This window comes from Homo sapiens, chromosome 2 (assembly GCF_000001405.40).
Source record: "Homo sapiens chromosome 2, GRCh38.p14 Primary Assembly".
In the NCBI taxonomy this organism is placed as follows: Eukaryota; Metazoa; Chordata; class Mammalia; order Primates; family Hominidae; genus Homo; species Homo sapiens.
Window position 1 is genome coordinate 98,036,750 of NC_000002.12, and position 25,816 is coordinate 98,062,565.

Genomic DNA, 25,816 nt, shown 5'->3' on the forward strand with positions numbered 1-25,816 from the left:
CAGGCCACCTGCTTCCCTTCTGTGACCAGGTTGCTACTGGACAGGGCTCAAGTGCACAGCCTCTTCTCCTGCCAGCTGCCTGAGAGCAGGCCCAGGAGGAGCCTGTCCTGCCTGTCAGCTGTTGCCTGGAGCAGTGACAAGCGCTGGGCTGAATCTCCCCGCAGCAACACGGTAGGTAGAGAGAACACACGCATGCTCGCAGTAGACTTGGAACAAAACTTAGCCCCACTTTAGGCAATAATTGTGTTTAATCTAAAAAGGCTGACACATACCCAGAAACAAGTGGTAAAGCTGCAACCTTAATCTTCGGAAGTCAACGGCAACCAGCTGGCAGGAAGGTGGAGGACAGATGAGTCTCCCCTTCCACACTCCCATTGAATAGTAAAATTAAGGGAAAAGCTCACGACTGACTTTTTAAGTACATCCCTGGGATTCTACTGGTAGAATTTAGAAATGAACAAAATAATCATAATTTACTTATACATAGACTATCACAATCTAAGAGTATGTGTAAGGAGGATGAGTTCCGTTGCAGGAGAGGGTTAGCTCTTGCTCTTTTAAGGGAGCTGATAACTGGTTTGCTCAGAGTTCTGAGCTATGGACCAGCTGTGAAGACTGGTCCGTCTTTTGAGAGCAGTGTGACAGGCTGAGTGTCCCTGGAGAGCTACTTTTAGTATTAAAAATAGGTTTTAAAAATCTGGAATGTTGGGGCTGTGTTAAGTCAGCCAACAAGCAGCTCATGGGCTTCTGGGCACATTCATGTTGCTTTTCTAGACAGTATAATAGGTCACTGCTATCAAGGCTGGTTATATAATTTTCAAGGACCAGTGCAAGATAAAAGCATGGATCTACATGCTTATAAAGAAGGAAAAAGGCTTGTTTCCTTTCCTTTGCAGTCTCTCTTTTTCTTTCTTGACCTGATAAGGCATTTTTAAAATTTGCTATTTAATATGCTCTTTTGGTCATGGTGGCATGCCCAGGCCCCCAGCAGGAGTGGAGGGCAGTGGCAGCTGCTGGTTGAGGGTAAGGAGTGGGCAACTGAGCCCAGAAAGGCTGGGAGGCAGCAGGAGTGGGACCGCATGTGAGCTGAGGCTCCAAGCCCCCCTGGAGCATGTTGCATTGGCCTTCACTAATAGAGCATAGATTCAAAGATCAAATTATTAGGAATTTCAACATGCCAGTTGCAAAGCACCAAACCCCAGGAGAGGCCCCCTGCTTAGCATGTGGTCCTGGGTGGCTGGCTCGTTGCAGGCTTAGGCAGCTGGCCCTGATGGCTATTTCTGTTTTATCATTTCTATGGAACCTCCTGCTGGCAGGATTTGAACCCAAATGGGCCAGGAGCCCCTGGGATGGCCAGCAAGTGTAAGCCTCTGAAAAGAAGTTGGCTTGATGCCAGCTCTCCTACTTGCTCCTTGGAAAACTAACTTAATCTTTATGAGTTTAACCCTCCTGTCTATAAAATGGACATGTAAATAGCTGCTTTTCAGAGATCTTGTGAGCAGCATCAGAGATATTGCTGCAGGCCTGTATGGACTCACTGTCAGTAATAATAATACATTTGATCAAATAACTTTTATGTTTTAACCCAAGAAGTAAGCCAGCTAGAGTTTCAGAAATTTCAGAAATAAGAAGAAAATACATATATTTACATTTATGATTTTATTATTTTTGGGTCTCTGGCATCAAGCCAAATGCCTCAGCACTATTTAGATATAGCGTTTCTCTGCCAGGTCTCCTTCTTCCTTTTCATTTATTTATTTATTTATTTATTTATTTATTTATTTATTTTTGAGACAGAGTCTTGTTCTGTCGCCCAGGCTTGAGTGCAGTGGCACGATCTTGGCTCACTGCAACCTCCACCTCCTGGGTTCAAGTGATTCTCCTGTCTCAGCCTCCTGAATAGCTGGGACTACAGGCGTGCACCACCACACCCAGCTAATTTTTGTATTTTTAGTAGAGACGGGGTTTCACCATGTTGGCCAAGCTGCTCTCAAACTCCTGACCTCAGGTGATCCACCAGCCTCGGCCTCCCAAAGTGCTGGGATTCCAGGCGTGAGCCACCGCGCCCGGCCTCCTTCTTTCTTTTCTACATAACTTTCCTTGTCCTCATGGTGCATGCCTCTGCCCAGCTGCCGGATGCCTTATCCAGTGTTGTTCTGTCTGGACTGTGCCCCCCAAGCAGTGGCCTGTGGCTCCAGCTCTCCTGATTCCCCTACCTAAATTGAAATGTACCTGTCAAATGTCCCCTTAGCTTAAGACTTTGCAGGGTCTTCAGAGAGATTAGGTGATGGTGCAATCTATGTTAATCTACCTATATTATAGTCCTTGATGACAATGTTATAGTAGGTAACTAGTCAGACATGAGCAGGGCAGGAGAGGCCCTCACCGCCCACCCAACCAGGAATGTCAGGCGACCATCAGGTGATGGTCAGGTGGTTGTTAACTGTCTTCTCTAAAAGAGTAATTGGTCACAGCCAGTGCCAGGGAAAGGCAGTCTCCCAATAGATAGAAAAAACCTGGAACTGGTGATCAGCAGCTTCCGGATAGGATCTCGGAAATTGGGTGAGTGGGCTCAAGCATGCATACTAAGAGGCAAAATGGTGGAATTTAACTGGTATATGGCCTATGGAAACACTCAACTGGTAAGGAAAGAACGCCTCAAGTGAGCACGGGTACAACTCCAGTAAACACACTGCGCATGCTCCCCTCCCACGTGCTGGCAGGCAGGTCACTCTACATATGGACAGCTCCCCACCAAAGGAAGAATCGGGAGAGCCGATGCAAGACCCTGGAAGCAGGCCAACATATAGAACCTCAAGTCAAAGTTCAAACCGGGCACTTGATCTCTCAAGGCGCCCACTTGGCCCTCTTCCAAGTGTACTTTACTTCCTTTTATTCCTGCCCTAAAACTTTTTAATACACTTTCACTTCTGCTCTAAAACTTGCCTCAGTCCTCTCTCTGCCTTATGCCCCCTCAGTTGAATTCTTTCTTCTGAGGAGGCAAGAATCAAGGTTGCCGCAGGCCTGTATGGACTCAACGCCAGTAACAATAACACATTCGAGCAAATAACTTATGTTTTAACTCAAGAAGTAATTTGGCTAGAATTTCAGAACCCCTAGGGCCAGCAGGGGAGGTTTTTGTGAATAGCTGAGAACACCATCTATATGAAGGTGTTGTGAATAAAGCCAGCCTACTTTGGAGGTAGAAGAAACTTCACCCCAGAGAGCAGCTGTAACGTGAGGATCAGCTGAGTCCCTGGAGAGCTTCCCAGCCGAATATATAATTTCCAGGTCCAGGAGCTGAATTGGGCACTCAGACATGCTTGTTTGGTTGGCATTGCTTCGTTTTTAAAAATCTGAATGTGAATGCCTTCAAGTGGCGCCGGCCATCTCTGGTTCACTGGAGGCCCTACCTCCCCTATTGTCTGAATGCCTCCCTTTTGGCTGGGTCATTAGTCCATGCCCCCATATTAGAGGTGCAAAGTTGGTCTGGTTCACTGAAAGGTCAAGGCCAGAGGGCCTGGCTTCAGCTGGGCTCTGCCTTTGCCCCTCAGATCCTTTGCCGTTTTTCTGGCACACCTGTTCAGATGTGCCTTGACTCCCAACAGCCAGCACCTGGAGTTGACCTGGCTTGGTGTGCTGGTTTACTAGGGCTGCTGCAGCAAAGTTCCACAGACTGGGTGGCTTGAAGCAGCAGACATTTATTCTGCCACAGTGCAGGCAGCTGGAGCCTGCAGTCAAGGTGTTGGCAGGGTTTGTTCCTTTTGGAGGCTCGGAGCGGGATCTGTCCCATGCCTCTCTCCAAGATTCTGGTGGCTGCCAGCGATTCCCAGCGTTCCTTGGCTTGTGCCTGCTGCACTGCAACCTCTGGCTCTATCTTCAAATGGCAATGGTCCGTGTGTGTGTGTATGTGTGTCTGTCTGTCTGTATTCTCTCCTTATGAGGACACCGGTCAGTGGATTAGGGCTGCCCTACTCTAGTATGACCTCATCTTAACTGTTTACATCTGCAAAGACACTTTTTCCAAACAAAGCCACATTCTGGGGTTCTGATGAACATGAATTTTGGCGGGGGACATTGTTCAGCCCAGGAACCCCGAGCTCAGGAAGAATCCAGAATGCCTAGGAATTTATACCCCTCCAACTCCTTTTTGGGGAAGAAGGCTATAAGTACTCTACCCCCTTGTCTAGGACTGGCTACCTAATTTACTGGGCCCAGTGGAAAATAAAAGCATAGAGCCTCTTGCTATTAATAGAAAATGGTGGAGAATTTCAAGATGGTGACAGCAGAAGGTTAAACCAAGCATGGGCCCTTCTGAGCACAGGGTCCTGTATAATTGCATGCTCCCATGAAGACCCCCACCCTTGCCTCTGATCAGAACGACTCAGAGAGGACACTTGTACTGTCCCTCCTGCTCTGCACAGGATCAGGCCAACATCACCCTCTGTGGATCATGCCCCCTTGTTTGGCCTCCCTCACTTCTTAGTCCCACCTCCTCATTCCCCTACTGGTTATTCAGTTCTTCATAAATCCCTTTCACCCAGATTCCATCTCAGGTCTACTTTGGGGGACCTGAATGTCAGACAGGCAAGGGCAGCTCTGCTCTAACTGGATAATTATTAAAAAAAAAAATGTGCCTCAGCAGTGTGGCCTTAATGTGGGGGAAGGCAACGTCCTCCTTTCCTTTTCTCCATCTAAAGATAACTTCCAAAATAAGTCTTAAAGATGCACTAAGGGGCTGGGCACGGTGGCTCACACCTGTAATCCCAGCACTTTGGGAGGCTGAGGCAGGCAGATCACAAGATCAGGAATTCGAGACCAGTCTGGCCAACATAGTGAAACCCTGTCTCTACTAAATATAGAAAAAATTAGCCGGGTGTGGTGGTGTGCACCTGTAATCCCAGCTACTTAGGAGGCTGAGTCAGGAGAATCATGTGAACTTGGGAGGTGGAGGTTGCGGTGAGCTGAGATCGCACCATTGCACTCCAGCCAGGGCGACAGTGTGAGACTCTGTCTCAAAAAAAAAAAAAAAAAAATACTAAGGGACTTCTGCCGAGAGAGTAGGTGGACTTTGCGTATTCTTCCTGTGAAGCACAACTAAAAACCTTGGACATAGGCAAAACAAACACAAGAAGACTGAAAGGTGGAGAGGAGAAGAAAGACTGGCTAGGGACTTCAGGACTGAAGGAATAACATGATGATGAGTTCCCTCGATTTCTCCCCCTTATATATACCAAAGTTAGAACAGAAGCAACTGGAAAACTAGAAATGCCAATGGCACAGACAAAACAAAACATAACAAAAGCCTCAACAACGCTTGATCTTCCTAGCCAAAGAGCCAGCAGAGGGACAGCTTAGCAAGATAGGAAACTGTTAGACAATAATTGCTCTACGCCAGCTAAATGCTACAGAAAAGACTGTGGTCCCACTCCCACTTATGCAAGCAAAGGATTACTGGAGAGCCAAGAGTTCTACCCTCATCAGGCTGTAAAGGGGTGTCCCAATCTCCCTACTCAGGTGGTGTCAGAGAAGGTCTAGTGGAAGGTCAGGATGTTCACCATCACCTTGTGATGACAAGGCCACCCCCAGTGGTGTCACTGGAGACCGTGTCGGGAGAGTGTGGACAAACTCCTATTCTTTCCAGTGCAGAAGGTACAGCCCAGTGGGGGAGCCAGAGCTTCCACTGTACCCAGTAGTATTGAGGACCCCTCACTCCCCTAGTGCCAAAGGAGGCCAGCTGGGGGACCTGGGCTTTGATCCTCACTAGGCAGGAATGAGATGGCAACAACCTCACTTCTTCTGCCAGAGTGGCATCAAAAGAAGGAAGCTAAAAAGAATGTTTAAATAAGATCCAAAGTCTCATAGTATAACAACCAAAATACCTAGGATTCAATTTAAAAAACTCATCAAGAACCAGAAAGATCTCGGAATGAAACAAATCAATAAATTTCAACACTTAAGTTGACAAAGATGTCAAAGTTATCTGACAAAGATTTTAAAGCAGCTATAAAAAATGGTTCAATGAGCAATTGTAAACCTGCTTGAAGCAAATGAAACAATAGAAAGTCTCAGCAAAGAAATAGAAGCCATAAAGAAACAAATGGAAATTTTAGAACTGAAAAGTACAACAACCAAAAAAGCAATAGAAAGGCTCAAAAGCAAGTGGAAGAGACAGAGGAAAGAATGAAAGAAAATGAAGATAGCACAATAGAGACTACCCAATGTGAAAGGAAAATAAATCTCAGGACCCACAAATCACTAAGCCAAAGGGAAAATTCAAGCTGGAAAATGCATCAGGCAAACCTGCCTCTTATTTTATTCCTAAATAAGATAGCTACAAGGATAAAGAAGCTACATCCTTCCCTCACCATTTGCCCACATGGGAATTCCTTGTGGGCCTCAAGATCTTTATCCTAAAACAATTCTGTTGAATTTCACCCTGGCAATGTAAATTGATAGCTTATCTTCACAGATGCTGGAAGGACAAACAGAACTCAAAGTCATCCCTCTGCTCACCTGAGTCAAATGGTTATCTAATGGCTTCCTCTGCCCTACTGTTTATGCGAAAATGCAGATTCACTGAGCCAGAAGAAGGCATGACTGTTCCTCTATCTTCACCCCCTCCCCACCCACATATAAACTGTGTATTCAGTGAAAGGCTGATCAGAGACCCAAAAGAATGCAACTGTTTGTCTCTTATCTACCTATGACCTGGAAGGCCCCACTTTGAGCAGTCCTGCCTTTCTGCACCAAACCAAAGTACATCTTACACATATTGATTGATTTCTCATATCTCCCTAAAATGTATAAAAGCAAGCTGCACTCTGACTACCTTGGGCACATGTCATCAGGACCTCCTGAAGATGTGTCACGCAGGGCTCCTTAACCTTAGCAAAAAAAACTAAATCGATTGAGATCTGTCTCAGATACTTTTGAGTTCACACCCAAGGTGAACAACAGAGTAAAAATAGACTAAAAATAAATAAATACATAGACAGAACCTCTGGAACCTATGGGACTATAACAAAAGATCTAATATTTATCTCATCAGAGTTCCAGTAGGAGAAGAGAGAGAGGGCAGGGCTAAAAAAGTACTGGGAGAAATAATGTCTAGAAAACTTCCTAAATTTGGTAAGAGATGTAAACTCACAGATGGAAGAAGCTGAGCAAACTCTAAATAGAATTAACATAAAGAAATCCACACCGAAACACATTATAGTCAAATGTCTGAAAACTAAAGTAAAAGAATATAAATCTTTAGAGCAGCCAAAAAACAACAATACATTTGTTGTAATTTAATTACAACAAATTTCTCATCCAAAACCATAGAGGCCAGAAGGAAATGGCACAATATTTCAAGTAAATAACTATCAACCCAGAATTCTATATCCAGTAAAAATAGCTTCCAATAATGAAGAAGAAATCAAGACATCCTCAGATGAAGAAAAACTAAATAATTTTTTACCAGCCGATCTACCCTAAAATAATGAATAAAGGAAGCTCTCCAAACAGAAAGAAAATAATAAAAGAAGGAACTCTGGAAAAGCAGAAAGCAAGAAAACACAGTAAGCAAAAATACAATATACTCACTTTTTGATTTTCCTAAATGACATTTGATGATGGTGGAAGCAAAAATTGTAACGTTTCCACTTTTTGGAAGCAAAAAGTGTAGCCACTATTGTGGTTTTAAATGTAAGCAGGGGAAATATTTAAGACAATTTTATCATTAATATCTATAATTATATCATTATTGTCTTAAATATTTAACATATTACATAAAAAAAGCTATTCAAAGATATACACTGTCACGTGCATCCATGTGAAGAGACCACTAAACAGGCTTTGTGTGAGCAATAGAGCTTTTTAACCACCTGGGTGCAGGTGGGCTGAGTCTGAAAAGAGAGTCAGCAAAGGGTGGTGGAATTATCATTAGTTCTTATAGGTTTGAGATAGGCGGTGGGGTTAGGAGCAATTTTTTTGCGATCAGGGGGTAGATCTTACAAAGTACATTCTTAAGGGTGGGGAGAATATTACAAAGTACCTTAAGGGCAGGGGAGAATATTACAAAGTACCTTCTTAAGGGTGGGCAGGGTGTATTGTACAAAGCACATTCACAAGGATGGGGGAATATCACAAAGTACATTATCACAAGGGCGGGGAGGGTGTATTGTCACAAAGTCAATTGATCAGTTAGGGTGGGGCAGGAACAAATCACAATGGTGGAATGTCATTAGCTAAGGCAGGACCTGGCTATTTTCACTTCTTTTGTGGATCTTCAGTTGCTTCAGGCCATCTGGATGTATAAGTGCAGGTCACAGGGGGATATGATGGCTTAGCTTGGGCTCAGAGGCCTGACAGTAGGTGGATCTCCTCACAGAGTGAGTGCAAGGACAAGGGACAGGTCTCCCAAAGGAGTCCCCCTGTCCTGGATCTTCGGCACCTAAATGTCATGCGTGTCCATGTGAAGAGACCACCAACAGGCTTTGTGTGAGCAATAAAGCTTTTTAATCACCTGGGTGCAGGTGGGCTGAATCTGAAAAAAGAGTCAGCAAAGGGAACTAGGGGTGAGGCAGTTTTATAGGATTTGTGTGGGTAGTGGAAAATTACAGTCAAAGGGGGTTGTTCTCTTGAGGGCAGGGCGGGGGTCACAAGGTGCTTGGTGGGGAGCTCCTGGGCCAGGAGAAGGAATTTCACAAGGTAATGTCATCAGTTAAGTCAGGAACCGGCCATTTTCACTTCTTTTGTGATTCTTCAGTTGCTTCAGGCTATCTGGATGTATACAGGCCGGCTTGGGCTCAGAGGCTTGACATACGCTTTTAAAAGGCATAGATAAATCAAAATGGAGTTCTAAAAAATGTTCAAGTAACCCAAAGGAAGTAAGGAAAAAAGAAAATAGAGAAATTAAAAGCAGAGAGAAAAACAAAAAGCAAAAACTAAATAGCAGCCATAGCCCTGAGATCTACCATGTTAAACACTAATCGAAAGAAACCTGGATGGATTAGTTTGCTAGGGCCACTATAATAAAATACCATAAGCTAGGGCAAGGTGGCTTAAACAACAGGAATTTACAGTTTTCTTAGAGTTGTGGAGGCCTTGCTCAAAGATTCAGGCTTTAGGAGGGCCACCACTCTGAAGGCATTAGGAAGGGCTCTGTTCCAGGACTCTCTCCTACCTTCTGGTAGGGCCTTGGCTGGTGGCGGGATAACTCCAGTCTTCCCATGGCATTCTCCCTGTGTACATGTCTGTCTCCAAATTTCCCTTTTATATAAGGACATCACGTCATATTGAATTAGGGACTCTATTCCAGGGCTGTCTTAACTTAATTAATTGTATCTGCAACAACACTATTTCCCAATAAGGTAAAATTCTGAGATACTGGGGTTAGGACTTCAATATCATTTGAGGGTGTCAGAGGCGTGTGAACCAGAGCAACTCCATCTGAAATAGGAGCTGGGTAAAATGAGGCTGAAACCTACTGGGCTGCATTCCCAGACAGTTAAGGCATTCTAAGTCACAGGAAGAGATAGGAGGTCAGCACAAGATACAGGTCACAAAGACCTTGCTGATAAAACAGGTTGCAGTAAAGAAGCCAGCCAAATCCCACCAAAACCAAGATGGTGATGAGAGTGACCTCTGGTCGTCCTCACTGCTACACTCCCACCAGCACCATGACAGTATACAAATGCCATGGCAACATCAGGAAGTTACCCTGTATGGTCTAATAAGGGGAGGCATGAATAATCCACCCTTTGTTTAGCATATCATCAAGAAATAACCAAAAAAATGGGCAACCAGCAGCCCTTGGGGCTGCTCTGTCCATGGAGTAGCCATTCTTTTATTCCTTTACTTTCTTAATAAACTTGCTTTCACTTTACTCTATGGACTCACCCTGAATTCTTTCTTGGGTGAGATCCAAGAACCCTCTCTTGGGGTCTGGATCGGGACTGCTTTCCTGTAACATATTTCTGGTGACCACAGAAGAGACTTGTAGTGCAGAAACCCTGACCCAACAGCTACCTTTGGGTAAGTGTTGGAGTCCTGTAACATATTTGTGGCAACCACGGTAGTGACTTTACTGCAGAAACCCCTGACCCAAATGCTGGCTTTGGGTAAATGGTGGGGTTCAGTAACATTTTTCTTGTGAGCCACAAAAGGGACAATACTGAGGAACGCCCCCCGCAACCCAAAGGAAATAGACTGCAGCACTGATTGGACAACTTTGGGTAATTGGTGGGGTACCTGGATAAAGGTAAAGTGATTGGACAACTTTGGGTGAGTGGCGGAGTACCTGGATAAAGAATGGGATTGGGTTACAGACCCAGCTAGGGAAGTTACAGTCTCTCCTAAAACAGAGTGGGTTAGAGGTCCCTCTTAATAAAAGGCAAGGACGCTTGACCGACCTTGGGTTAGAGGCCCAACTTAGGAGGGTTAGAGTCCCTTCTAAGATTTAGGAAGTTAGAGGCCCCTCTCAGTATAAGTCCTTCTCGGCTAAAAGCAGGTTTGGCACTACGGGATGTTAACTGCTATTCTCTTTGGATTAATCTGCCTTGCACTCTTTGCTGATGGCTGTGGGTGACAGGGTTAGGCATGTACAGGATCATGGGACATGCGGAGCTTTTTCCTCCCTAAAAGGGGAAACTTAAGAGCTGATGGGACTGCTGGAAAAGATCCCTTTGCTACTGAAAAGCGGCCACCTGAGCTTTTCTTTTCTTCTGTTTTTTTGAGACGGAGTTTCATTCTTGTTGCCCAGGCTGGAGTACAATGGCGCGATCTCGGCTCACCACAACCTCCGCCTCCCAGGTTCAAGCAATTCTCCTGCCTCAGCCTCCCAAGTAGCTGGGGTTACAGGCATGCACCACCACGCCCAGGTAATTTTGTATTTTTAGTAGAGACGGGGTTTTTCCATGTTGAGGCTGGTCTCGAACTCCTGACCTCAGGTGATCCTCCCGCCTTAGCCTCCCAAAGTGCTGGGATTACAGGCGTGAGCCACCGCGCCTTGCCTTGCCTTGCCTTGCCTTGCCTTTCCTTTCCTTTCCTTTCCTTTCCTTTCCTTTCTTTTCCTTTCCTTTCCTGTCCTGTCCTGTCTTTTCCTTTCCTTTCCTTTCCTTTCCTTTCCTTTCCTTTCCTTTCTTTTCCTTTCCTTTCCTGTCCTGTCCTGTCTTTTCCTTTCCTTTCCTTTCTTTTCCTTTCCTTTCCTGTCCTGTCCTGTCTTTTCCTTTCCTTTCCTTTTTCCTTTCCTTTCCTTTCCTTTTCTTTCTTCCTTCCTTCCTTCCTTTCTTGTTTTTTGAGATGGAGTTTTGCTCTTGTTTCCCAGGCTGGAGTGCAATGGCACGATCTCGTCTCACCACAACCTCCGCCTCCCAGGTTCAAGCAATTCTCCTGCCTCAGCCTCCTGAGTAGCTGGGATTACAGCAATGCGCCACCACGCTAGGCTAATTGTGTATTTTTAGTGGAGACAGGGTTTCTCCCTGTTGGTCAGGCTGGTCTTCAACTCCCGACCTCAGGTGATCCACCCGCCTCGGCCTCCCAAAGTACTAGGATTACAGGTTCGAGCCACCACACCCGGCCTTGAACTTTTCATTGTCGGCTGCAATGAGTGGGCGTTTTCTCTGGCTTCCCTGAGCTCTTCACCTTCCCCACCCTACCACAGGTAATACTTTCCTTCTCTACTTTTCCTTTCCTATATTTTCTGTCACTCAGGGTGACCATCTTGCCCAGAGACCATATGTTGATACTCCAAGTCGGAGGTTGGATTAAAGATGATGGGACTCATCTGGGGGAAAATTTAAGCCTTGCCAGTTTGATATTGGGTGCTAAGCAGAGTGGCTAATGTCTGTGTTTTATCACATGTATTTTGCTCTGGCCAGAATGAAAAAAAAAAATTCCTTTATAATGTGGCTTGGCCCCAGGGTGATGGTGCCACAAGCTGGATCACTAGGACTGCTCAGAGAAAGAGAACCCAGAAGATTGGCATGCCGGCAAAAGGGTAAAAATTTCTTACCAGTCAGATTTCTGACTTCTCTCTGTGGGAACGATTGAAGGAATGGTAAAACAAATCTCTTCTGTTTGGATTAATGCAAAAAAGAATTCTAAGGCTAGTCTTAAACTGGTGTACTTTGTGCTATGAATTCGTTTTTCTTGTCGAGGGGAACTTCAGGATAAAACATGGGCTTAGAACACCTGTAAGCCCGCTTTTCAAGACAACTCAGCAAGCTGGTCCGTAACGAACTTGGCTGCAGGTCCCTGAAACAAACAAAAAACAACTGGATGAAGTTTCCACCTTATTTTATGTCCTTGGGAGCTTGACCTTTTAACCACATGGCGGTACTTTCTCTTGGTCTCTGCCTTCCAGGGAACAGAAATTTTAGGGTTCATGTCATAGTTAGTGCTAAAAATCATATTAAAAAGTTAAAAGCCTTTACAAGCTCAAAATTAACTACTCTAGACTCCGTCTGGGGAAGGAAACAGAGGCTGTCCCATGCTGCACCTCTGTTGCTAAGGTTTTGCGCTTTCACAGTAGCGGTCCAGGTTCAATTCCCCACCTAGGAAGTAAGTCGTTTCTGGTTTAATACCTGCATGACCTTGTCTATTCTCTTCTCCTCTGTGGACTGTCTTAAATTTTCCTTTCTCTAAGCACCTGGGAGGTTACCTTTGGTAAAGTTCAAAAGTCAGAAATATCGGCCGTTTGGCATAAGAAATTCTAAAAGGACTTTATTAAAGAGTGCTATGGTTAAAATCAGTACTATTAAAAGCGGATAGTTAAACTCTAACAGCCTAGACTCCTTGGGAAAAACAGGAGGAAACAGAGACCACTTTCCTGGCCCTGTTCTTCCGGGGGCTCCATCCTAAAGCCAGTAATCCAATGAAGAAACTTAAAAACTGGCAAATGAAAAATTTTACAACTACTGTAGTATAATCTTCTGTCTTTCTTGTAGCTACATATGTGTTGTGTGTAATGTTTATATATAAGAGCTCTAATTAATTGGCTGAAACAAAAATAAGCACTTACATCAAATATTTTAAAAGCAAAATAGAAACTGTAATGCCTTTTAGTTCATATAACTTTAGTAATCTTTGGGAAAAACAGCTTTTAAAATTATTGTTAAAATAAAAACATTTAGTCTAAATTATGCAGGTCAGATATTAAGTTTGCTAAAGGCTTTAAGGTCATAAACTGCTGCTTTAACTTTTCCAAAATTGTTCAATTTACCTACCTTAAAGCCATGAGGTTCTAGATAAGGCCTGGGGACATGTGGAATTAGCCATGCCCCTTTGCTATACAAAGAAGATTATTAAGAAAGGGATTTTATGTAAGAAAGGATCTTGTATGGGAAATTCTTGTCCTAAAGTAAAATGACTGGTTGTCTAACAGGAGGGATGTTTAGGGCAGGTCAGAAAGTCCAATAATATCTCAGATGGTCTGTGTAAGTCATGAAAGGATTTGTGAAAGGGAATTTATGCAAGAAATGTCATACAATTCAAAGGTTGTTAAGCCTTGTAAATGCTTCATAAAATGCCACTATGACTCTTGCTGTACAACTTGCCTGCTTTATAGCTAGGTAAGGCCTGGGGACATGTGGAGTTAGTCATGCAACCTAGCTATGCTGGAGAGTCAGCTCTTATCTACACTTCTGTCTGGTGTGTCCTAGGCTAGGCGCCACACCTTGTATATAATTAAAATCCCGAACTTACCAAGTTTTTCACCAAAAATAAAAGTTGCTAAAAGTTAACGTTATAATATGTAACTAAAACTACTAAAAAAAATTTTACATGCAAGGTGTGTAAAGAAAGTAAAATGTGTTTTTGGCGAAAGATTACAAGAAGGCATGGGAATGTGCATTTTTTTTGCCTAAGGGGTTAAAGAATTGTTTTAAGTTAGAATAAAGGTTTGAACAATTGTGGAGGGTTTGTAGAAAATTAATTGTAAAAGAGATTCTGTGTGTGGACATTGGCTAAATTAAAGGAGTATTATTCAGTTTTTCTATAAATTAAAAATTGGAATAAAAGCACAACAGATTTTTCTTAGAGCAAAAACCTGCTTATGATCTGCTATTTAACAAAAACTTGTAAAGGGTTATAAAAGGTTTATAAGAATCTTACCTTATGGTCAAACTGATTAAGATTGGATCGATATATTTATAAGGTTTTATTAAGAATTGGGTTTGACATTGATAATGCACTAATGCAACAGTGACATTTGGCTTATTTGGTACAAAAATCATACAGGGAGCATTGTCAAATATAAAATGGTGTTTGGTTTTCTTTGGGCCATATTTGTATAAATATGTTATTGGTATATATATTCCAAAATCATGGGAAACTCTTATAATTCTGATATGACTTAGTGTACATTATCAGTAATAATGATAATCGTTACATAAAATCATTGTATGCCATGGAGGTAACAAATTTCCTTGTCAATTGTTTCTTTGATCGTGGCTCCCCTAAAACATTTTGTCAGCCATAGACAATTGTTACCTGGTTTTTTTTCTTTTTGAGACAAAGTTTCTCTCTTGTTGCCCAGGCTGGAGCGCAATGGCGCAATCTCAGCTTACTGCAACCTCTGCTTCCTGGTTTCAAGTGATTCTCCTGCCTCAGCCTCCTGAGTAGCTGGGATTACAGGTGCCCACCACCATGCTCAGCTAGTTTTTGTATTTTTAGTAGAGATGAGGTTTCGCCATGGTGGTCAGGCTGGTCTTGAACTCCTGACCTCAGGTGATCCAACTGCCTCGGCCTCCCAAAGTGCTGGGATAACAGGTGTGAGCCACTGTGCCTGGCCCAATCGTTACCTCGTTTTAATCCTCTTTAAAAGGTGATTTATAATCAATTATAGAACTCTAATAGGTGTTCTTAAATGCAGGTTTTCTGATAACTTTGGAGATTGTGTCATCAGAATAAAGGAAAAAACTTTCAGAACTCTAATGGAGAACTGAAATATTCATAACTATCAAACAGAAGTTAACTATATGGACTAAACTGAAGAAGTCTAATCTTTTTAACTTTGCTTAAAACATTGCTGATCCTTTGTTTTGTTTTTCAGAGTCAAGGAAACTTTTCTTTTGAGCTATTTACAGCTTTTAACAGTTGAGTGTACTCCTATGAACAGAATTTGGAGCATATTTATTTTTATTTCTTTGTATTTAATTTCTCTAAAATTTGGAAACTGTTTGTAAGTATTCTTAACTTATGGCAATATAGTTATTTGCATAGGTGCAATAAAAATCCGTTTTCTTTTGTAACAGGACACAACGGGAGACATTGGTTATTTTGCTAAGGCTTTGACTGGAACAGCATGTTTTCCTTTAGGGTATTAAACCTAACATATAGAGCCAATAAAAGCCCCCTGGGGGACTGGCCTCATACCTTGCCTAAAACAGTCTCTGTGCAGAATTTCTAACCTGTGGTGAGTAAAGAATGTCACTTTCTGACAGGTCATGGAGCCCCAAGTTATCTTGTGACCTCGAGAGGAAAAAAATTTACCCAACTCAGGTATTTGAGGGTGCAAACCCATGGCTGGGCTCGGCTGTAAAATAGTCTTACCTGAGGCAGAGCAAAGTGGATCCCAGCAGTTTGGGAGGCCGAGGTGGGCACATCACTGGAAGTCAGGAATTTGAGACCAGCCTGGCCAATATGGTGAAACGCTGTCTCTACTAAAAGCATAGAAAAAAAATTAGCTGGGCATGGTGGCAGGGCCTGTAATCCCAGCAACCCGGGAGGCTGAAACAGGAGAATCACTTGAACCCAGGAGGTGGAGGTTCTGGTGAGCCGAGATAGCACCACTGCACTCCAGTCTGGGCGACAGAGCGAGACTCTGTCTCAATTTAAAAAAAAGAAGTCTTATCTGAAATTCCTTCTATGGAATAGAGTTCAAAGCCAATTTAAAATGAGCTTATGTGAAAAATAATTATTCTTGCTGTACAAATAATCAGGCCAAGTATAATAAAGCAAATCGGTCTTACCATGATTTGTCTTTAGTAAAAATAGGAAACTGGAGAGAGAAATATTACATTTCAAAAACTGGTATACTTTGTATTAGATTCTAGTCTTATCAGTTGTTTTTAAGTTTGTTTCTGCAATTTAGTCTAACACTGCATATTCCTGTGAACCAACCACTGATGTCTAACTGCTGCTCAGAAGAAACAAGAGAGATGGGTAATGCAAAAATCTGGATCAGTATTCTAATTCTGGGCACATTACAATCAGCTAACAACCCCATATCAGCTTAGTTCCAACAGTTGCCCAGTTCATGAAAAGCTTTCTAATTTAGTTTACTTGGAATAACTTTACTTATTTTCCTTTACTCTTGTGAAATATATTGCTGTTATACTCTTTGTGTAGGAATACAGGACAAGCTTACTAAATGTTTTCTTAAATTAAACACTTATTAATTTTCCAAATACTCTTTGTGTAGGAATACAGGACAAACTTACTGAATGCTTTCTTAAATTAAACATTTATTAATCTTCCAAATATCACCTTTTGTTGAAACTCAAAAGTTATAAATGGACCTTACCATACTAATGCTTTCTGACTGAGCTCCTCTCTACCCTGAATGCAAGAGGCCCTCATAGTTAGGCAGGAATATCATTGCCCCTATTCAGCATGAAGAAGTTACAGAAGACGGATCTTTATGCCTCTGCAAGCCTTAGGATTAAGGGTTTATAAAAAGGGTGGGGGGAAATGTCAGAGGTGTGTGAACCAGAGCAACTCCATCTGAAATAGGAGCTGGGTAAAATGAGGCTGAACCTACTGGGCTGCATTCCTAGAGAGTTAAGGCATTCTAAGTCACAGGATGAGACAGGAGGTCGTCACAAAATACAGGTCATAAAGACCTTGCTGATAAAACAGGATGCAGTAAAGGAGCCAGCCAAATCCCACCAAAACCAAAACGGCCACGAGAGTGACCTCTGGTTGTCCTCACTGCTACACTCCCACCAGCACCATGACAGTTTACAAACGCCATGGCAATGTCAGGAGGTTACCCTATATGTTCTAAAGAGGGGAGACATGAATAATCCACCCTTTGTTTAGCATATCATCAAGAAATAACCATAAAAATGGTCAACCAGCAGCCCTCAGGGTTGCTCTGTCTATGGAGTAGCCGTTCTTTTATTTCTTTCCTTTTATTACTTTCTTAATAAACTTGCTTTCACTTTGCACTGCGGACTTGTCCTGAATTCTTTCTTGTGTGAGATCCAAGAACCCTCTCTTGGGATCTGGATCAGGACCCCTTTCCTGTAACAAGGGGATAAGATTCAACCTATTAAGACTGGAGTGGTGACATTAATTTCAGACAGAGCTGACTTCAGAGCAAGGAAAATTATCAGGAATAAAGACAAACTTACATAATAACAAAATGGCCAACTCTCTAAGAAGAAAGAACAATCCTTAATGTGTTCACCGATTATGAAATTGATAAGTTAAATAATTCTATAAATGTCATGAAATTGGATTAATAATTTTAAAGCTCCGCCAAAGTGGCCAAACTGCCACAGATCCTGACAATTTCATCTGGATCCATTGTACCCTGCTGGGCCACCAGTGGACTGGGGGCTTCCTGTGTGGTGGTTGGCTTCTGTGTCATGACTGATTTCTACCTTCCCACACCTTATCATGAAAACACTACGTTCCTGTTGTTCTGACCATGAGGTCTCAGGGTTTGGGCTGCGCTGTGAAGGTCAACCTTACCTCATTGCTGATGGCTTTCTTGTACACAGTAGGCTGCTACTTCATGTTTCTAGAGAGAGTGGAATTTGAATCTGCTAAGAGGGCTATCCGCTCTCCTGGGACTATGCAAGCTTCATAATGCAGCCATGAGCTTGTCTCTGTGCCTTTGAGTTTCATGAGCTTTTTCTATAGCAGCATCCTGCAAAAAAGAAAAGAAACAGCCCATCTGGAGGTCAAGAGGTCAGTCTCTGGCTGTGTTTTTCTCATTGAAGTAATATACCTTTGGTCCTCGAATCTTTTCAACCTATTTTCTTAAATTCCTCCTAGAAAGCAGGGAATGAGAATTGGATTTCTGTAAGAGAGGGCGCAAGTTTTCTGGGTACGTCACCTTGTTTTTGATGACGTTTGGAAACAAACTTGATCTTGGTTTCTACACCCTGATCTCCAAAAACACTTGAGAAGAACTGAAGGTCTTGTGTATGTGTTGTGTCCTTCCTTCGGAGGAGGGATGGGGACACTAGAGGAAGGTTCTGTCGAGGCCCCTGTAAATGATAAAGGAGCATTTCTCACACGAAGATCCAGGCACACATCTTCAAGGAACTGTGAATTTATGAAAAATTTTTAAATTCTTTTTTTTGTTTGTTTGTTTTGTTTCTTAGAGCTTGGGGTCTTGTTATGTTGCCTAGGCTGGTTTTGAACCCCTAGGCTCAAGCCATCCACTTGTGTAGCTGTGACTACAGGCAGACGCCATTATGCTTGGCTTAAAATTCTTGTGTTTTTATTTCAGTGATAACCTAACAAAAATATTAGTGTAAACACTTTTGAGGTTGTCTGGAGGACCCATATGTAGATATGGCCATTGATTACAGCATCATTTGGTGTCTTGTCATTTTACTTTAATAATTGCAGGCTCAGGAGGAAGGAACAAAGGAGAATATAAAGTAAAAACAGTGCATTCTTCCAATGCAAAGGCCAAATGATGGCAGGGCTTGAAGAAAATTTCACAGTGGTTCAGAAGGAGACAGTGATGGGAGACCTGAGTCATCATATGGAACACAATGGTGGAGGAGTTCTCTGTAGCATGTTCCAGTGTGAGCAGCAGTTTGGGTCTAGCAAAACCAGTATTATTCATCACATGGAATTAATAATGTCAATTATCAATGAGGAAAAGTAATTAAAATTTAATAGTATATATTGGTTAAAATTTTATCTCATCTGTTGTTTTGCTTGTCTCAAATCTCTAAAATTATTTACATAAGGAAATCCGTTATTGAGTTTTAACTTTACATGTTTAAGAAACATTTTGACTAAAATAATCAAAAACAATACTGGAGGGCCACACAAATGCTTTTCCTTTAAGTGTTGTGCTGCCATAGAATAATTTTTGAACTGGAAAGTTCTTGGGAGATTTAGTAGAGAGGAAGCTGAAACCCCAAGAGATTAACAGACTTTTCCAAGGTCAGACAACACATCCTCAGCAAGGCTATGATTAGGCCCTAGGTCTCCTGATGTCCACCCCAGGCCCCTTTCCAAGGCACGGCTGTTCAGAAGAGGGCTCCAAGAAGGTGGATTATTCAGGCCCAGGTGATTGGATGGCCATGCCTTCCCTAAAACAGAGGCTGGGAGCTTTACTTTTTCTTTTGCAGGCCACTGGCACATGGAATATATCAACTGTGGGCCAGGCACAGTTGAAAAACAAGAAGAGAAGTTTAGAGACAAGATTCAACATCAGTCTCCACTCCACCCCCAGCAACCCCACCAAAACCAGCATTACCATATACTCCACCTCCATCACGTTTGTGTAGGTACAGAAGATGACAGAGGATGTGCTAAAGGGCTATTTTGAACATTTCTAAATGGATGCCACAGATTATATGCATTAGAGAATGAGCTTCTCAATGGTTCTTTACTGGTAGGTTTTTGTTTGTTTGTTTGTTCGTTTGTTTGTTTTTTGAGACAGAGTCTCACTGTTGTTGCCCAGGCTGGAGTGCAATGGCTCTATCTCGGCTCACCCCAACCTCCGCCTCCCGGGTTCAAGTGATTCTCCTGCCTCAGATTCCAAAGTAGCTGGGATTACAGGCGCGTGCCACCACACCTGGCTAATTTTGTATTTTTAGTAGAGATGGGGTTTCTCCATGTTGGTCAGGCTGGTCTCGAGCTCTCAACCTCAGGTGATCTGCTCGCCTCGGCCTCCTCCCAAAGTGCTGGGATTACAGGGGTGAGCCACCGCGACCGGCCTGGTTTTTTTTTTTTTTTTTCTTAAAAAAAAGAGATCCATTTCTGAGGGCATCATCACTGAACTGGGAATATAAATTCTGAAATTTAAGTTCCTGTTTCTTAACCTTGAGTACACAGTGAAATAACAGCGGTAGTGTAATTATTGATTTTCAGGTTTTCAACTTGTACTTGTACTGTTTGTAGAGGAAACCCATCTGAAACATTCTAACATAACCTACATTTCATTGGTTCTATCCAACCACCAAATAATGCAGGAATTTCTTCAGGCATTTTATAGGGGTGCCCAGGCTACCTTGCAAATGTTTACAAACACGTTGAATTAGTTACTAGGTGAGGTTAGCCATTTCAGCAGTTTAATTTCTTCTGCTCTGGCCCCATCATCTTCACTTCCCAATTGTTTCTTAGGTCTACTCCTGCTCTGCTTCCAGCTGATCGTACTACAGCTTCTCCGAGACCCCCACTCCTCCCATCTGGCTAACCCCTGCGTCTGCAGCCCCCCACATGGTGCCTGCATAGCCCTCATCTCCCAGAATTCTGTTGTGAAGAGAAATGCCTTAAAGGGTCTATAACCTATTTTAAGATGATTCTGTGTAGACAGTGTAATAGAATGAAATTTTTCTTCCCCCTGGTGCTGTAAGTCACCTTTTGAAGCTCCCTAATTAGGAATCCACTTTCCATATCCATTGGAGGATTCTTCACATGAGGTCCACTGACCGCCCAGGAGTCTCAGGATAGAATTTAGGAAGTCCATCAACCGGAATGGAAAAAATTACATACTTATTTCACTATCTTTAAACTGAAAAACTGCATTTCCTTCCATTACAAAAGTAGGCAGCAAACCCCAGTAGGAGAGGAGCAGTAGCTCTGCTGTGCAGGAGTCCCAGGGACTCTCACTGATGTCCCAGTTGCTGCAGATATCTCCAAATATTTTTTACATTTGTCATCACTTCTAAATGACACTAATTATTAGATTTTCCACTAGAGCTTGTTATTTCAAGGGATAATCATGAAGCACATATATTACTATAGCACAAATTTGATTTTTTCTAGTATTTTGAGAACTATATTTCAAAATAATTGCTTTCCTTTGCAAAGCTATGTATTTTATTTTAATTTAAAAGATTACAATAAAAGAGTAAATGCATTTTTTTTTTCAGAGAAGAGAGTCATAGCCTTCTCAGAGTGCCAAAGGAGTCCATGGCACAAAATTTTTAAGAAACCCTCATCCTTAGAAGGTTAATTATCTGAGGGATGTTAGATATTATTCTTCATTTGTAGAACGAGAGATGTTCAAGTTACGAGCTTTGCTCCTGTATCACTGGGACACAAGCATGAGAAGACCCGGTAGTACCACGCTCGCAAGTTCCACTTAGATCTTGGACCCGCTTTACATACGTCATCGTCACCTGGTCCTATAGTTGGGACGTTACCATGTTGGCTTTTGAGTGGCCTTTTCTGGCACGATGTGGGTTGAATTGTGCTCCCCCAAAATATATATTGAAATCCTAACCCCTGGCACCTATGAATGGGACCTTTTTTGGAAACAGGGTCTTCGCAAATGGAATCGAGTTAAGAGGAAGTTATACTGGAACAGGGTGGGCCCTTGATCCAATATGACTGGTGTCCTGATAAGAAGGGAAGAGCCACACCGAGAGAAGAATGTCACATGATGATAGAGCAGATACTAGAGTGATGCAGCTGCAAGCCAAGGAATGTGAAGGATTGCCGGCAGCAACTCGAAGCTCGGAAGAGTCAAGGGAAGATTTTACCCAGAGTCTCAGAGGGAGCCTTGCCCCGCGGACACCTTGATGTCAGACTTCTAGCCGCCAGAACTGTGAGATAATGAATTTCTGCTGCTTTTTACCATCAAGATATCATTACTTTGTTACTGCAGCCCTAGGGAACGAATCCAGTGTATGGGTGCCAATAAATGGAAAGAGGTGGGAAACCACAGAGGTCACAAAACTGGTTGTGTGACTTTGGGAACCTAGTTGCTAATGAGACCTGTACATTGCAGATTCCAGTCTGAGACGTACAATGATTGGTACGTACCATCTGGTTGTGAGGTTTTGGGGAATGAAATATATAGCTTCCGCCCACTTCCAACTGGCAGAGCCTAGAGATACCCAAAATAGCAGTACAAATGTTGGGCCTAAAGATGGGTTTAGCTCAGCTGAAAACAGAATGCCTCTCTCCCTTTTTGTGTTACACTCGGCTAAAGCTGCTTCCATCTCACAAATGCTTCAAGGAAAATTGCCTCCTTCCATTTTTACTCATTGTCCCTTCTTTCCCTGGGGCCCAGATATAATAAGTTCAGGGAAGGCCGGGTGCGGACCAAACTCAGTAGCAAATCTATGTTAGTTCCATGACACTCTGCCTCCTCTTCCTTTGGATGAGTTCTCTCCTAGGGAGAGCTCTATCCCTTAGGCAGAGACATAAGCAAATCTACCTATTAAGTGTGCTAGACTTCCATCTTGTCTACTTCCTAAGGGTAGGCAGGGTCTCCTCTAAGTTGGAAAATACAACAGCCTTGTTTACCTGAGAAGACAAACCATGTCGTCATATATCAGGCTACTAATTCAGACACTCATTTCAGAAGACTTTTTGAGCTTCCAGCCTCAAAGTTCTAGGGCTTTGAACTTCTTGCCTCCCTGGTTTGGATACTCAAGGAAAGGATAGTGGGGATCAAGAATCACTAGAGACAAGGACATCTCGATGCTTGAGTCAGCCAGTACGCTATAGCTGCTGCTCCTTCCCTCTTAAGTTCTATTTCCTTTGTGCTTGACTCCCTGCGTTCAATATAGACCTCCCCACTGCGATCACTACTTTCTGCTCTTGCCTGGAGATGTATCCTGAAGTCTATCCCCACTCCCAATAGATTTATATATAAAGCCTTTAAAATACATGAGAGCATTCATAAGAACCACCCAATCTTTCAATGAATAGTTTGTCCTGGACTAAATGCAAAGTCAAATATTGAGCTCAGTAAACTTATTACACTCATGTAATCTAATCTTCAAATGTCAGAAAAATTACCTTCAACCTTTTCCTCCATTCTGGAAAGAGAAACTGCAGCTCCTTTGGCCTCATATAAAACCTTCTTCGAAGTCTCCAGTCCTGCCCTCAAATCGAGTTTGCAGTTGTTGCTCAAAATATCTACGATCTAGACTTTCGTGTTACTAAACTACTCTGCTCCATCTGGTATTTTTGGCCACTGAAGCAGCTCTCATTATTGATTGATTGATTGAGATATAATTCGCATACCATGAAACCCATCTGCTTAAAATGTACAATTCAGTGATGTTTATTATGTTCACAGAGTTGTGCAACTGTCACCACTATCTAATTCCACAACATTTTCATCAACCCTGAAGAAACCTGCACCCATTAGCAGTCACTCTTCATTCTCCTCTACCCCAGCCCTTTGCAAACACTAATCTACTTTCTGTCCCTATGGATTTATGTTCTTTATGTTTTTCAACCCATTTCCAATCCCAATAGTCCGATACAGTCCTATTACAGGTGGTTAGACAGGCATGAGCGGGCAATGCCCCTCAGTTGAATCCTTTCTTCTGAGGAAGCAAGAACTGAGGTTGCTGCAGACCTGTAGGGATTCATTGCCAGTAACCAGGACAACTTCCATCAGTAACAGTTCCAACTAATTACTTCTGTAGTGAAGGCCTACTATACCCGAGACTCGTTTGAAAGGCCGACCATATTAAATCCTTCTTACTCAAAATGTAAAGAAAGAGGAGCCGGTGGCCTTACCCATCCCTAGGAGGAGCTGGGAGACAGGGGCTAAGGAAACGTGCAGCAGCAAGTGTGAAAAAGCACTGGACACCCTCACTTGGTCAGCTTACGCCAACATTCTTTATTAGCAGTAAGGTTTCTGATAACCATGGAGAATGTTTGTCAAACTCAAGAACCTTTGTTTCTAACTCCTGGAGCATTGCTGTAGGCAGTTGCTAGCTTCCAGTGCAAATAGAAACAAACTTAAATGTTCACTGGATGAATGGAAACTTGATTCTCTTAATACAGTCCACTTGGGCTCCATTTGTCTTCACAGCAACCATTTGCTGGATTTATTGCTCAATTGACATCATTTATGCATTCCTTCTGCCAGTACCATATTGTGTTGATTACTATAGCTTTTTTTTTTTTTTATACTTTAAGTTTTAGGGTACATGTGCACAATGTGCAGGTTACTTACCTATGTATACCTGTGCCATGCTGGTGCGCTGCACCCATTAACTCGTCATTTAGCATTAGGTATATCTCCTAATGCTATCCCTCCCCCCTCCCCCCACCCCACAACAGTCCCCATAGTGTGATGTTCCCCTTCCTGTGTCCATGTGTTCTCATTGTTCAATTCCCACCTATGAGTGAGAACATGCGGTGTTTGGTTTTTTGTCCTTGCGATAGTTTACTGAGAATGATGATTTCCAATTTCATCCATGCCCCTACAAAGGACATGAACTCATCATTTTTTATGGCTGCATAGTATTCCATGGTGTATATGTACCACATTTTCTTAATCCAGTCTATCATTGATGGACATTTGGGTTGGTTCCAAGTCTTTGCTATTGTGAATAGTGCCGCAATAAACATACGTGTGCATGTATCTTTATAGCAGCATGATTTATAGTCCTTTGGGTATATACCCAGTAATGGGATGGCTGGATCAAATGGTATTTCTAGTTCTAGATCCCTGAGGAATCGCCACACTGACTTCCACAATGGTTGAACTAGTTTACCGTCCCACCAACAGTGTAAAAGTGTTCCTATTTCTCCACATCCTCTCCAGCACCTGTTGTTTCCTGACTTTTGAATGATCACCATTCTAACTCGTGTGAGATGGTATCTCATTGTGGTTTTGACTTGCATTTCTCTGATGGCCAGTGATGACGAGCATTTTTTCATGTGTCTTTTGGCTGCATAAATGTCTTCTTTTGAGAAGTGTCTGTTCATATCCTTTGCCCGCTTTTTGATGGGGTTTTTTGATTTTTTCTTGTAAATTTATTTGAGTTCATTGTAGATTCTGGATATTAGCCCTTTGTCAGATGAGTAGGTTGCAAAAATTTTCTCCCATTTTGTAGGTTGCCTGTTCACTCTGATGGTAGTTTCTTTTGCTGTGCAGAAGCTCTTTAGTTTAATTAGATCCCATTTGTCAACTTTGGCTTTTGTTGCCATTGCTTTTGGTGTTTTAGACATGAAGTCCTTGCCCATGCCTATGTCCTGAATGGTAATGCCTAGGTTTTCTTCTAGGGTTTTTATGGTTTTAGGTCTAACGTTTAAGTCTTTAATCCATCTTGAATTAATTTTTGTATAAGGTGTAAGGAAGGGATCCAGTTTCAGCTTTCTACATATGGCTAGCCAGTTTTCCCAGCACCATTTATTAAATAGGGAATCCTTTCCCCATTGCTTGTTTTTCTCAGGTTTGTCAAAGATCAGATAGTTGTAGATATGCAGCGTTATTTCTGAGGGCTCTGTTCTGTTCCATTGATCTATATCTCTGTTTTGGTAACAGCACCATGCTGTTTTGGTTACTGTAACCTTGCAGTATAGTTTGAAGTCAGGTAGCGTGATGCCTCCAGCTTTGTTCTTTTGGCTTAGGATTGACTTGGTGATGCGGGCTCTTTTTTGGTTCCATATGAACTTTAAAGTAGTTGATTACTATAGCTTTGTAGTAAGTTTTGAAATCAGAAAGTGTGAATCTTCCAACTTCGTTTTTTCCTTTCAAGATTGTTTTGGTTGTTTTGATTGTCTTGCATTGCCACATGAATTTTAGTATCAGCTTGTTAATTTCTGCAAAAAGCTGAGATTTTGACAGGCATTGCAATAAGTCTACAGATACCAGTCTAGGTAGTGCCACCATCTTAACAATATTAAGTCTTCTGATTCTTGGACATGA

The 25,816-nt window shown here is 42.5% G+C and overlaps 1 long non-coding RNA gene across 1 annotated transcript, besides 3 other annotated features; it reads right to left on the bottom strand.

The window, feature by feature from the left end:
• Positions 1-8,486: 8,486 nt before the first annotated feature.
• Positions 8,487-15,650, bottom strand: LOC105373501 (uncharacterized). The gene is made up of 3 exons (XR_923092.3): positions 15,541-15,650; positions 12,002-12,243; positions 8,487-8,813 (listed from the first exon to the last, which is right to left on the bottom strand). It is a non-coding gene; the product is annotated as an uncharacterized LOC105373501 (long non-coding RNA).
• Positions 10,560-11,060: an enhancer, noted in NCBI's record as "H3K27ac hESC enhancer chr2:98663772-98664272 (GRCh37/hg19 assembly coordinates)". NCBI's record gives its function as "activates a minimal SCP1, AML or CMV promoter by ChIP-STARR-seq in primed H9 embryonic stem cells {active_cell/tissue: H9 hESC(primed)}" and the evidence as "EXISTENCE:reporter gene assay evidence [ECO:0000049][PMID:30033119]".
• Positions 11,061-11,561: an enhancer, noted in NCBI's record as "H3K27ac hESC enhancer chr2:98664273-98664773 (GRCh37/hg19 assembly coordinates)". NCBI's record gives its function as "activates a minimal SCP1, AML or CMV promoter by ChIP-STARR-seq in naive H9 embryonic stem cells {active_cell/tissue: H9 hESC(naive)}" and the evidence as "EXISTENCE:reporter gene assay evidence [ECO:0000049][PMID:30033119]".
• Positions 17,406-18,605: an enhancer, noted in NCBI's record as "CDK7 strongly-dependent group 2 enhancer chr2:98670618-98671817 (GRCh37/hg19 assembly coordinates)". NCBI's record gives its function as "activates an origin of replication core promoter dependent on BRD2, BRD4, P300/CBP, MED14 and CDK7 cofactors, with strong dependence on CDK7, by STARR-seq in HCT116 cells {active_cell/tissue: HCT116}" and the evidence as "EXISTENCE:reporter gene assay evidence [ECO:0000049][PMID:35650434]".